Below are 14,805 nucleotides of genomic sequence, written 5' to 3' on the forward strand. Positions count from 1 at the left end.
TTGAACCATATTTTAAAATAATTACCCTGGCTGATGTATTGAAAATAGACCGAAAGGATAACAACAGAAGTAGAATGACGAGTTATGAGGCACTGTAATAAACTGGGTGAAAGAGAGGGATGTCTTGGACAGTCATAGTAGCGAGAAGGGATCATGACAACTAGGTTTTCTTAACAGGATGTGGGAAGATGAGAAACAGAAGGAGTCAAGGCTGACTCCAAGGTCTTGTCTGAGCAACTGGAAAAATTGAGTTGCCATCAATTGATAAGGAAGAGTGAGGATACTCAGGCTTGCAAATAAAACAAGGAGTTCAGTTTTGGTCACGTGGAGTCAGAGGTGTCTATTCAACATCACAGCTGCAATTGCAGTTGGATGTATAAAACTGGTGTTCACAAGAGAGGCCTAGACATTAGCACATAGAAGCTATTTAAAGATCCCATGGGGTCGCCAAAGAGGGGAGTATGAATGATCTTACTTATATATGAAATCTAAAAAAGTTGAACTCATAGAAGTAGAGAGTAGAATGGTGGTTACCAGAGACTGGAGGGTGGGGTTTGGGGAAATGTTGCTCAGAAGATACAAAATTTCAATTAGACTAGAGAAAGAGATCCAAGACATCTATTAAACAACATGGTGACTACAACTACTAGCAATATATTATTGAAAATTGTTAAGAAAGTATGTTTTAAGTGTTCTTATTACAAAAAAATTCATAACTATGTGAAGTAATGCATATGTTAATTAGCCTGATTTAACTATTTCACAATTTATACATACTTCAAAACATATTGTATGCCATAAATATGTACAATTTTTATTTGTCAATGGAAGGAAGGAAGGGAGAGAGAGAGTCACTTCTCTGCTCAAATTCATCAAAAGACTTCTTATCTCACGCATAATAAAATCCAAAATCCCAACTTGGCTTTGGATTACAAGTCCCACATGATCTTCTATAATTCTTGCCTTTACTGCCTACTCCAGACACCTTTTTATTCCTTCAGGGCATTTGCACTTGCTGTTCTCACTGGATTCTCCATGGCTTCCTTTCCCACTTCCTTCAGACTCTGTTCAAATATCCCCTTATCACATTATCAGCAAAGGCATCACTGATGTGGGAATTTAACATTGCACAGCTCCTCACACTTCCCTCTCTCTTCTAATTAATTTTTCCCAAGGGCTTAAGACCAAAGAATAAACTACATGCTTTACTTATTTACTTATGCCTTCTCAATAGAATGTAAGCCTTCATATCTTTTGTTGATTGCTATCTCCACAGAAAAACAGTACAGGGTAGGTTAGGAAATATCAACTGAATTTCTAAACCTGAGGAACAAGCAATATTTTATCTAGTATTTTATAGATGAGAAAACTAACCTGAGACTCAGAGAACTTAGTGCAAATGATCAAAATCACAGAGTATGCACTGGTAAAGTCTAGAAGCCTAATAAAGAGAGATTCTTCTTTTTTTTTCCCCCCCTTGGCTTTGGGCCAGCTCTGAAAAAGCTCATTGCAAAAGAGGAAAGGGAAAATCTTCTAAAGATTTGCTGCCCTTCAGTTGCTTTTCATAATGTGCAAAAAAAAAAAAAAAAAAAAAATCAGGAAATATTGAAAAAACTGGGAATATTTGTTAATATTAACAGCCTTTGACCTATTTAGTGCTTAGATTGAATGTCTAAATGAAATTCATACAAAGGAAGAGCTGTGCATGACAACTGGTCTCATTTTTTTCTTCCCTTTTTCCACACGGCTTGTAGCTTGATTCACTCCAGTGGAAGAGGACAAATAATTCACTGAGTTATTTGATATGGATAATGAACAATCAACCCATGTGAGTTATTCAGAGTTTGAAAAATGAAAGGAAATTACTTTGGAAGGGAGATGAGCCCAAGGACCACATCAGCAAACTAGGAGAATGCACACAGACAGGAATGATATTTGGAATGCAAGCAGACATTCATGCCTGAAAGCTGTTCTGGAAATAACTGCTATTATTGCCCCCACTGAGATGCTGCACTGAAGAACACAGGCCACCAGTCCCATCTAAAACTAAAAATATCCAAGTTGTATCAGTAAAATCACTTTCATGGTTATTTGATTCTATACAATTATAAGTTTTCATTAAAAGTTTAGGTCTCAGGTTTATCCAGAAGTTTTCAGTTATTTACAAGATATTTGCTCAAGTTATCCATCTGAGGTAGGAAGCATTTCTATACTCATCATTTATTTTAAATAGTTAATGCCTTAACTGCCAACACGAGCCTGATGATGAATTTAGGTGATGATTTGAAGAATACTGGGATGGTTATTATTTCATTAAAAAAACACCTCCAGTGAGGGTTTTTGTTTCCCTTTAACTCCAACAGTGCTCATAGGACTGCCTCAATCCCTTTCACTGAGCCAGGCCCAGATCACCTGATTTATCTGGATAAAGTTCCTTTGATGGTGAAGAGACAGGGGGAAAAAAGGAATATGTTAGATTTTTTTCCAGTCCTATTAAGGCACAAGACTCTGAATCATTCCCACCAAAAGATCTAGAAAACAAGTACTGAGACTCAAGAATAAGACATCAAGATAGGGAACAAGTAGAACAAATCTTAGCATAGCCTTGCGGGTGGTTGAAGAATAAGCTGCATGGCTGGTCTAAAACTGTGAACATACCTTCAAGAGAGTTCTGGGTAACAAGCCCTCATTCCAGTTCTGCAGCTTTAAGTTCAGTAGCTCACCAGGATTGCGCTTTGTTAGTCTGGAGAGGAGGCATGTTATGAATGAGAGCTGTGTTCCTGTCTGAGTCTTCTGTTTTACTCAGCAGTCACATGGTATATTGTATAACCCTGAAATCCTATGAGATAGATATACATAGCTCAGGTGAAGTGATCCTCCCAACACACATCCAGACTGCTTTAGGTGTAGTCTGTTGACGTGATCCAGCTTCACCTGCACATGTATAAGGCTGTCCTGAGGAGTGCAGTGTGGGTGATTGGGCTTCCTGAGGTTCTGAGGAGTATCCGGAAGCTAGTGCCTTCATAAATAGCCCTGACAAGGGTTGCTGATTACACCCACTTCCCTCTGTATTATTTAAAAAAGCAAATTTTATTTAACTGATCCAACAGGTGTTTTGTCTTTCTGTTACTGCAAATCTACAAGAAAAATTGACTGGCAATTATCAATACAAAGTTTGTGCTTGCAGTTTAGCATTTTGCATTGGTGTTTTGGCTGATAGGAAAGGAAAAGCCCTGTTTTAACAACTTCTCTAATTACACATACACAAACATATATATTAAATAAAGCAGATAGTTATATATATGAATAACAAATGTAAAAGAAATATTTCCAAATGCTATATTGTTTATTAATATATAAATATTAGTTTTTAACCAATAAAAATAAAATTCTATATTAAATATGTATATAAAATACGTATATTTAATATTTGTATATTTATACACAAATATTAGATAAATTTATATAAATACATATATATTTAAATACATATATATATAAACATTATGATACTTTCTAAGAGACTTTCTTAATTCCCTTCATGCTGAGAAGTGTGTTACAGAATGAAAGGGTCACAGACCTAAGTATTTTAGCAAAGAAACAATTTTTAATATAAGTATATATCGTTTGAAGGTATTTGACCTGACCTTTATAATAGAAGTATTTTTCCAAGCATTTTAGTTACAGGTGCTCATATTTGCTAACTATTCCAGTGAGGCAACACATGACAAAAATGCCATTAAGATGACAGATGTACCAGATGTAGATAATGCCCCCAAATTGGCTCTTAGAAATTTTACATGAAATGAAGGCAGAAGCTGAAAACTGTGATTCCCAAAACCACTAGTTTCAAATGTAACTCTGCTTCTCACAAAATGTATAGGCTACCTTTGCTAAAGAATCAGGAATCAAAGTATCTAGATAAAATTAATAAAGATGGTATATTTAGAAAACAAATTAGAGTTTTATATAAGCACTAAGCCACATTAAGCTATTCAAGATAATTAACTTCAAGAACTAATCAACAAACGGAAGTCTGAAATATAGAAGATAATTATTTAAAATTCAAAGAATTCTCCTATAAATGAATGCAGTGAAACAGCACTAATCCTTGTTCTTCATTGGACTCTGAATCAAATGTGTGCCAAAAACAAAACCACTTCAGCACAGGTGCAGCCTATAAGCCATAGGGAAAAGGGAGCTGAAAGAAGTTAGCAATCCTGCACAAGAATCCTGCATAGGAAGCAAGGGTCAGTTTCTCTCCTTTGATTCCAAGAAGAATGGGACTCACAGGAACTCGGAGACAGGACGGTTTGTACTGGCAGGTTTGTGGCACCTTGTGGACATTTTCCAAACCAGACCAGAACTTGTCGTTACTTCTTCCTGCTCCTATTTGAGATGAGAGAGCTACTACAAAAGCCACTTTTGCTATTTTCTTTAGACACAGGACATTCCTTTAGGCTATATCCTCCACATATCCTCCACAAATTTTTTTGTATTTTGAAATACAAAAAAGCTTTGTATTTCAACTTTCATGAGGTCTCTACCCTCTCTGTCTAGTGGCTTCACATCTGAAATCACATCATCTGCATGGCCTCATTACAAGAAGTGTCCAGTGCAAACTCTAGATAGCTTTAGCTACCTTTTCCGAGGGAAGGCTCCCCCAACATCACCCATAGCTCTCTGCACACTGCTGACTCTAAAGAAATGATGCAATGTTTACACATCCAGTCAAGTCTTCCGGGATGCCTGGTGTTCACACCCTGTCTGAGAGATGGGATCTGATGAGTTATTGTGCTTAAAGATCTCCAAAGCAGGCTGGGCGTGGTGGCTCACGCCTGTAATTCCAGCACTTTGGGAGGCCAAGGCGGACAGATCACGAAGTCAGGAGATTGAGACCGTCCTGGCTAACACGGTGAAACCTCGTCTCTACTAAAATACGAAAAATTAGCCGGGCGTGGGGACGGGCACCTGTAGTCCCAGCTACTCGGGAGGCTGAGGCAGGAGAACGGCGTGAACCCGGGAGGCAGAGCTTGCAGTGAGCCGAGATTGCACCACTGCACTCCAGTCTGGGTGCCAGAGAGAGAGACTCTGTCTCAAAAAAAGAGAAAAAGATCTCCAAAGCAGTTTTTTCTTTAAATACAGTGTTTCTTAAAAGAAAATAAATTTTTCTTTTAATTTTCACTATTTCAACAGTGTATTTCAAACATCAGTGCCTGTTTAGATTCTCCACTATTCCTCTGTGTTCATCCTCTGTTTATCCTCTTTCAGTGTGTTCCCGTGCATGTGTGTGTGTGTGTGTGTGTGTGTACACATGCACATCTTTGTTTTTTCCTACATTTTCATTTTCCTCTTCCCTTCCTCTTTTATCCATTGTATAATAGCATTGTAGTTTGCTATTTCCAGGGATGGGTGTTACATTATCCATGTATACAGATAAAGACTGTGATTTCTGCCATGTAGCACCACAGCACTTCTTGGGATAAGATGAGAACTCCAACTCTCCTGAAGGAGATGACTCTAACAAGGTTGAGCATCTTTGCAAAATGAATATTCCTCAGGGGTTAGGGTGGTCCTACAGAGGAGTTTACCTTCAACAATAAATTAGAATCTTAGAGGTAAAAATACTCTCACCGGGCGCGGTGGCTCACGCCTGTAATCCCAGCACTTTGGGAGGCCGAGGCAGGTGGATCACGAGGTCAGGGGATCGAGACCATCCTGGCTAACACGGTGAAACCCCGTTTCTACTAAAAATACAAAAAATTAGCCGGGCGTAGTGGCGGGCGCCTGTAGTCCCAGCTACTTGGGAGGCTGAAGCAGGAGAATGGCGTGAACCTGGGAGGCAGAGCTTGCAGTGAGCCGAGATCACGCCACTGCACTCCAGCCTGGGTGACAAAGCCAGACTCCGTCTCAAAAAAGAAAAAAATACTCTCAAATATCCCCCAATTAAATTATCAAAAAAGAAACTAATCATCTTGCAGAGTATACATCAAATAACATTTTTAGCCACCAAACAAAACTGATTATTAAAACAATTATGGTTTATAAATGTCATTATCACATAGTATTATTTTAAAAGTCAACTAATTACCCTAAGAGGATGGCAAAATCTACCCAGTATAGCAGCATTGTTAAAGTTTTCCAAATAAAACAAAGGCCATTAGTTTTGACACTCTGTTAGAGTGCCAATTAATACAGTATTTGTGTAACAGTGAAGAAATACGCTACAAAAAAACTTTATATATTTATATAATAAAATTGGTGTAGACTATGTTTTATTAATAAAAATAGTACTAAGAATAGCTTTTTATTAGCTTTCTGTATAACAGAAAGTGATCAACTAGTGAGCAACCAGAATCTGTAGCCTTCCTTCCATGTAAAATGTATAAATACACAAATAAATGTTTCTTAAAAATCTTTATCAAGCCTTTTTTATTATGTGCCAAGTACTAAAATGCACACTAGTCCTCATGAAATCATATAAACGGGCCTATTTATTATCTTTTTTATGAGAATGATGAGACTTAGAACAAGCAGATAACTTGCTGAAAGTCTCACATCTAGTGAGTTGACAAGTTAAAACTGAAACCCAGGTTTTCTGAGTCCAAATCCTAAGTTTGTTCTCCCATTATGGTTTATCTAATCCTATAATGTATGTAGTTACCTTGTAAATAATTGTATTTACAAATAATTTAAGTAATTATGTAGTTATTTTGTAACTGTAGTAGTTATTTTGTAAAATGATGAAGGAAGAGAAAATGGTCTCTGGAAAAGCCAAGAACAAGTTTAAAAGACCTGAATGTGTTTTCCCTTTTTCCCTCTGTGTCCCTACCTCCCTTTTGCTGGCTCTATCATTCAGCTCTGCAGAATATTCGCATTGCCAGAAGCTGAAAGTGAGCAATGAAGATTCTCCTATATCATTAAATACTTTCATAGTAACTCCGCTTGACTGGCAGATACAAAGAGGCTTCCCTGTGACATCCATCACATGGCCCAGAACCGCTCTAAGCTTGGTCTCAGTGACAAATGCTTGAAGTTAATCATCCATATGCTTCCACTTTTCCTGTGAAGACATTGATCAAGCTGTGTTGACAGAGCCTGGATGAAATATAGGTCTCTGGGAAATGCTGAGCTGGCTTTGAATCTACCATTATTTGAGCACAAGGCAACAGCTTGAGGGACATCTGTCATTTTGGTTTGACATTAACTGTCCTCTTCAATTTGAGGCCACATGTGTTTTGGTCAGAGTTGTGGATTCTATAAATGTCCTACATGCCTATCATGAAGCTGATGACTGGCAACAGGCTAAAACAGACTTCCATGCTAACAACAGTATCATTTAAATAACCAAAGAACATTGTAGGGCTTCAATACAGAAAATCATACGATGCTCTGTTATCTAAACAATAAAAAAACTGCTTTATATATTATAACATTTTCCATTTAATAGAAAGCATCACATACATTATTCTCCATATAATTTAATGATCTGGGTTTCAAATGCTTTTAAAACTCCTATTTTTCTATACCCTTAAATTAGCTATTTTCCCTCTTCTAGACATAGAAGAAAGTGCACGTAGCTTTACAGACTATATGAAGAACTGAGTCATGCAAGTGAAGCAAGATATTTAGAATGAAAAATAATTTACTTTGGACCCATGGAGAAAAAAAAACTACATTTTATGTACACTGGAAAGAAAAATGTCAGAAGTCAGATGGGTACTAGCTCTGTGTAAATTTGCCCCAACTCTCAAATTTATAACGTTACACTTAATTCAAGTAAAATTTTTAGAATGGAAAAATTGTGTTATAAGTATTGTGTAGGTTCTAAGACTAGGTTGAAAAAACCAGTTACCATAAAGAAGCAGGGTTATAATACAAAGGACTCAGTAGAGTCCCAGATACAAGTAGCTGAGGGTATGTAATGTTAGGGGAAAACAAACAAACAAAATACCATAAGAGACAAGATTCTGTGTTTTGTAGTCATAGTACAAAGCAAAGCTCAGTAAAAATTGTGTAGCAAACAACTTGCCTTTTTATTTCTCCCAATGTCCTTTTTGATATACCGCTCTAACTTCTTCCCAGTTGCCCAATGTCATCATGCAGCCGTGCTTCTCTCATACAAACCCAGCTCCTGAACTATTTAATGCTAAAAAATTAAGTAATTATCTGCCTCCCATCATACATTCAATTTTACAAAAGAAGTGGAGCAATCCAGCTGAATTCATATGTGCAATATCTAACTGACATATGCAACTGTCTCACATATGTATATGTGTCTCATGTATGTAAACCTTTCTAAAGTAAATGTTTATTAACCCATATGAAGCTCTAATCTTGTGGATTTTCAAACTTTGAATATGGTTGAAAATACATTTCAAATTATAAGAAATTTCAAGATTCAGAGGTATATACCTGAATAGAAAGACCACTAACCTTAGTAAGCAATCTAACAAGTGAGTCTACTCAGGAATATGGCACTTGGATTGGCATTCCAAGCTATTCCCGATTGTTATACCTTCATTCTTTTTCATCTTCACCTCCTTTTTCTTCATTTTATCTATCAACGGATATCGACTACATATAGTGCCAAATGCAATAAATAAAAGATGATACCAAAATCATGGAATGTGATGTGATTCTCCCTTATAATTTAGAGTGGGGCGAGTGTGGTGGCTCAGCCTGTAATCCTGGCACTTTGGGAGGCCAAGGGAGATGGATCACTTGAGGTCAGGAGTTGGAGACCAGTCTGGCCAACATGGCAAAACCCCTTCTCCACTAAAAATACAAAAATTAGCAAGGAATGGTGGCATGTGCCTGTAGTCCCAGCTACTTAGGAGGCTGAGGCATAAGAATAGCTTGAACACAGGAGGCAGAGGTTGCAGTGATCCGAGATTGCATCACTGCACTCCAGCCTTGGCAATACAGTGAGACTCCGTCCCCCCCAAAAAATTAGAATGGCATGGATTCTTTCCCGCACCTATTAGTTCATGAGAACTAATGAGGTCACATTAAGAATAAAACTACTGGGATGGAGCCAAGATGGCCGAATAGGAACAGCTCCGGTCTACCACTCCCAGCCTGAGTGCAGAAGATGGGTGATTTCTGCACTTCCATCTAAGGTACCAGGTTCATCTCACTAGGCAGTGCCAGACAGTGGGCGGAGGACAGTGGGTGCAGCGCACCATGCACGAGCTGAAGCAGGGCGAGGCATTGCCTCACTCAGGAAGCACAAGGGGTCAGGGAGTTCCCTTTCCTAGTCAAAGAAAGGGGTGACAGATGGCACCTGGAAAATCAGGTCACTCCCACCCTAATACTGTGCTTTTCCCACGGGCTTAAAAAACTGCACACCAGGAGATTATATCCCGCACTTGGCTCGGAGGGTCCTACACCCACGGAGTCTCGCTGATTGCTAGCACAGCAGTCTGAGATCAAACTGCAAGGTGGGAGCGAGGCTGGGGGAGGGGCGCCTGCCATTGCCCAGGCTTGATTAGGTAAACAAAGCAGCTGGGAAGCTCGAACTGGGTGGAGCCCACCACAGCTCAAGGAGGCCTGCCTGCCCCGGTAGGCTCCACCTCTGGGGGCAGGGCACAGACAAACAATAAGACAGCAGTAACCTCTGCAGACTTAAATGTCCCTGTCTGACAGCTTTGAAGAGAGCAGTGGTTCTCCCAGCAGCAGCTGGAGATCTGGGAATGGGCAGACTGCCTCCTCAAGTGGGTCCTTGACCCCCGAGCAGCCTAACTGGAAAGCACCCCCCAGTAGGGGCAGACTGACACCTCACACGGCCGGGTACTCCTCTGAGACAAAATTTCCAGAGGAACGATCAGGCAGCAACATTTGCAGTTCACCAAGATCTGCTGTTCTACAGCCACTGCTGCTGATACCCAGGCAAACAGGGTCTGGAGTGGATCTCTAGCAAACTCCAACAGACCTGCAGCTGAGGGTCCTGTCTGTTAAAAGGAAAACTAACAAACAGAAAGGACATCCACACCAAAAACCCTTCTGTATGTCACCATCATCAAAGACCAAAAGTAGATAAAACCACAAAGATGGGGAAAAAACAGAGCAGAAAAACTGGAAACTCTAAAAAGCAGAGTGCCTCTCCTCCTCCAAAGGAATGCAGCTCCTAATCAGCAACGGAAAAAAGCTGGACAGAAAATGACTTTGACAAGCTGAGAGAAGAAGGCTTCAGACGATCAAACTACTCCAAGCTACAGGAGGAAACTCAAACCAATGGCAAAGAAGTTAAAAACTTTGAAAAAAAATCAGATGAAGGCATAACTAGAATAACCAATGCAGAGAAGTCCTTAAAGGAGCTGATGCAGCTGAAAGCCAAGGCTTGAGAACTACGTGAAGAATGCAGAAGCCTCAGGAGCTGATGCAATCAACTGGAAGAAAGGGTATCAGTGATGGAAGATGAAATGAATGAAATGAAGCGAGAAGAGAAGTTTAGAGAAAAAAGAATAAAAAGAAACGAACAAAGCCTCCAAGAAATATGGGACTGTGTGAAAAGACCAAATCTACATCTGATTGGTGTACCTGAAAATGGCGGGGAGAATGGAACCAAGTTGGAAAACACTCTGCAGGATATTATCCAAGAGAACTTCCCCAATCTAGCAAGGCAGGCCAACATTCAGATTCAGGAAATACAGAGAACGCCACAAAGATACTCCTCCAGAAGAGCAACTCCAAGACAGATTTACCAAAGTTGAAATGAAGGAAAAAATGTTAAGGGCAGCCAGAGAGAAAGGTCGGGTTACCCACAAAGGGAAGCCCAACAGACTAACAGCTGATCTCTCAGCAGAAACTCTACAAGCCAGAAGAGAGTGTGGACCAATATTCAACATTCTTAAAGAAAAGAATTTTCAACCCAGAATTTCATATCCAGCCAAACTAAGCTTCACAAGTGAAGGAGAAATAAAATCCTTTACAGACAAGCAAATGCTGAGAGATTTTGTCACCACCAGGCCTCCCCTACAAGAGCTCCTGAAGGAAGCACTAAACAAGGAAAGGAACAGCTGGTACCAGCCACTGCAAAAACATGCCAAGTAATAAAGACCATCAAGGCTAGGAAGAAACTGCATCAACTAACGAGCAAAATAACCAGCTAACATCATAATGACAGGACCAAATACACACATAACAATATTAACTTTAAATGTAAATGGGCTAAATGCTCCAATTAAAAGACACAGACTGGCAAATTGGATAAAGAGTCAAGACCCATCAGTGTGCTGTATTCAGGAAACCCAAATCAACTGCAGAGACACACATAGGCACACAATAAAGGGATGGAGGAAGATCTACCAAGCAAATGGAAAACAAAAAAAGGCAGGAGTTGCAATCCTAGTCTCTCATAAAACAGATTTTAAAACAACAAAGATCAAAAGAGACAAAGAAGGCCATTACATAATGGTAAAGGGATGAATTCAACAAGAAGAGCTAACTATCCTAAATATATATGCACCTAATACAGGAGCACCCAGATTCATAAAGCAAGTCCTTAGTGACCTACAAAGAGACTGAGACTACCACAGAAAAATAATGGGAGACTTCAACACACCACTGTCAACATTAGACAGATCAACGAGACAGAAAGTTAACAAGGATACCCAGGAATTGAACTCAGCTCTGCACCAAGCAGACCTAGTAGACATCTACAGAACTCTCCACCCCAAATCAACAGAATATACATTTTTTTCAGCACCACATCACACCTATTCCAAAATTGATCACATAGGTGGAAGTAAAGCTCTCCTCAGCAAATGTAAAAGATCAGAAATTATAACAAACTATCTCTCAGACCACAGTGCAATCAAACTAGAACTCAGTACTAAGAAACTCACTCAAAACCACTCAATTACATGGAAACTGAACAACCTGCTCCTGAATGACTACTAGGTACATAACGAAATGAAGGCAGAAATAAAGATTTTCTTTGAAACCAACGAGAACAAAGACACAACATACCAGAATCTCTGGGACACATTCAAAGCAGTGTGTAGAGGGAAATTTATAGCACTAAATGCCCACAAGAGAAAGCAGGAAAGATCTAAAATTGACACTCTAATGTCACAATTAAAAGAACTAGAAAAGCAAGAGCAAACACATTCGAAAGCTAGCAGAAGGCAAGAAATAACTAAAATCAGAGCAGAACTGAAGGAAATAGAGACACAAAAAACCCTTCAAAAAATTAATGAATCCAGGAGCTGGTTTTTTGAAAAGATCAACAGAATCGATAGACCGCTAGCAAGACTAATAAAGAAGAAAGGAAAGAAGAATCAAATAGATGCAATAAAAAATGATAAAGGGGATATCACCACCAATCCCACAGAAATACAAACTACCATCAGAGAATACTATAAACACCTCCACGCAAATAAACTAGAAAATCTAGAAGAAATGGATACATTCCTGGACACATACACCCTCCCAAGACTAAACCAGGAAGAAGTTGAATCTCTGAATAGAACAATAACAGGCTCTGAAATTGTGGCAATAATCAATAGCTTACCAACCAAAAAGAGTCCAGGACCAGATGGATTCACAGCCGAATTCTACCAGAGGTACAAGGAGGAGATGGTACCACTCCTTCTGAAACTATTCCAATCAATAGAAAAAGAGGGAATCCTAACTCATTTTATGAGGCCAGCATCATCCTGATACCAAAGCCTGGCAGAGACACAACCAAAAAAAAGAGAATTTTAGACCAATATCCTTAATGAACATTGATGCAAAAATCCTCCATAAAATACTGGCAAACCGAATCCAGCAGCACATCAAAAAGCTTATCCACCATGATCAAGTGGGCTTCATCCCTGAGATGCACGGCTGGTTCAACATATGCAAATCAATAAATGTAATCTAGCATATAAACAGAACCAAAGACAAAAACCACATGATTATCTCAATAGATGCAGAAAAGGCCTTTGACAAAATTCAACAACCCTTCATGCTAAAACCTCTCAATAAATTAGGTATTGATGGGATGTATCTCAAAATAATAAGAGCTATCTATGACAAACCCACAGTCAATATCATACTGAATGGGCAAAAACTGGAAGCATTCCCTTTGAAAACTGGCACAAGACAGGGATGCCCTCTCTCACCACTCCTATTCAACATAGTGTTGGAAGTTCTGGCCAGGGCAATCAGGCAGGAGAAGGAAATAAAGGGCATTCAATTAGGAAAAGAGGAAGTCAAATTGCCCCTGTTTGCAGATGACATGATTGTATATCTAGAAAACCCCATTGTCTCAGCCCAAAATCTCCTTAAGCTGATAAGCAACTTCAGCAAAGTCTCAAGATACAAAATCAATGTACAAAAATCACAAGCATTCTTATACACCAATAACAGACAAACAGAGAGCTAAATCATGAGTGAACTCCCATTCACAATTGCTTCAAAGAGAATAAAATACCTAGGAATCCAACTTACAAGGGATGTGAAGGACCTCTTCAAGGAGAACTACAAACCACTGCTCAATGAAATAAAAGAGGATACAAACAAATGGAAGAACATTCCATGCTCATGGGTAGGAAGAATCAATATTGTGAAAATGGCCATACTGCCTAAGTTAATTTATAGATTCAATGCCATCCCCATCAAGCTACCAATGACTTTCTTCACTGAATTGGAAAAAACTACTTTAAAGTTCATATGGAACCAAAAAAGACCCCGCGTCACCAAGTCAATCCTAAGCCAAAAGAACAAAGCTGGAGGCATCATGCTACCTGACTTCAAACTATACTACAAGGCTACAGTAACCAAAACAGCATGGTACTGGTACCAAAACAGAGATATAGACCAATGGAACAGAACAGAGCCCTCAGAAATAATGCCACATATCTACAACTATCTGATCTTTGACAAACCTGACAAAAACAAGCAATGGGGAAAGGATTCCCTATTTAATAAATGGTGCTGGGAAAACTGGCTAGTCATATGTAGAAAGCTGAAACTGGATCCCTTCCTTACACCTTATACAAAAATTAATTCAAGATGGATTAAAGACTTAAATGTTAGACCTAAAACCATAAAAACCCTAGAAGAAAACCTAGGCAATGCCATTCAGGACATAGGCATGGGCAAGGACTTCATGGCTAAAACACCAAAAGCAATGGCAACAAAAGCCAAAATTGACAAATGGGATCTAATTAAACTAAGGAGCTTCTGCACAGCAAAAGAAACTACCATCAGAGTGAACAGGCAACCTACAAAATGGGAGAAAATGTTTGCAACCTACTCATCTGACAAAGGGCTAATATCCAGAATCTACAAAGAACTTAAACAAATTTACAAGAAAAAAACAAACAACCCCATCAAAAAGTGGGTGAAGGATATGAACAGACACTTCTCAAAACAAGACATTTATGCAGCCAAAAAACACATGAAAAAATGCTCATCATCACTGGCCATCAGAGAATGCAAATCAAAACCACAATGAGATAACATGTCACACCAGTTAGAATGGCGATCATTAAAAAGTCAGGAAACAACAGGTGCTGGAGAGGATGTGGAGAAATAGGAACACTTTTACACTGTTAGTGGGACTATAAACTAGTTCAGCCATTGTGGAAATCAGTGTGGCGATTCCGCAGGGATCTAGAACTAGAAATACCATTTGACCCAGCAATCCCATTACTGGGTATATACCCAAAGGATTATAAATCATGCTGCTATAAAGACACAAGCACACGTATGTTTATTGCAGCACTATTCACAATAGCGAAGACTTGGAACCAACCCAAATGTCCAACAATGATAGACTGGATTAAGAAAATGTGGCACATATACACCATG

The 14,805-nt window shown here is 39.1% G+C and overlaps 2 annotated features.

The window, feature by feature from the left end:
* Positions 3,176–3,345: an enhancer, noted in NCBI's record as "experimental_95967 CRE fragment used in MPRA reporter constructs". NCBI's record gives its function as "activates a minimal promoter by MPRAs in K562 erythroleukemia cells, with activity observed for both the introgressed and non-introgressed 6:79171158 variant alleles {active_cell/tissue: K562}" and the evidence as "EXISTENCE:reporter gene assay evidence [ECO:0000049][PMID:34662402]".
* Positions 9,539–9,739: a silencer, noted in NCBI's record as "peak5909 fragment used in MPRA reporter construct". NCBI's record gives its function as "represses an SCP1 promoter by STARR-seq MPRAs in K562 erythroleukemia cells {active_cell/tissue: K562}" and the evidence as "EXISTENCE:reporter gene assay evidence [ECO:0000049][PMID:32103011]".

Source organism: Homo sapiens, chromosome 6 (assembly GCF_000001405.40).
Source record: "Homo sapiens chromosome 6, GRCh38.p14 Primary Assembly".
Lineage (NCBI taxonomy): Eukaryota > Metazoa > Chordata > Mammalia > Primates > Hominidae > Homo > Homo sapiens.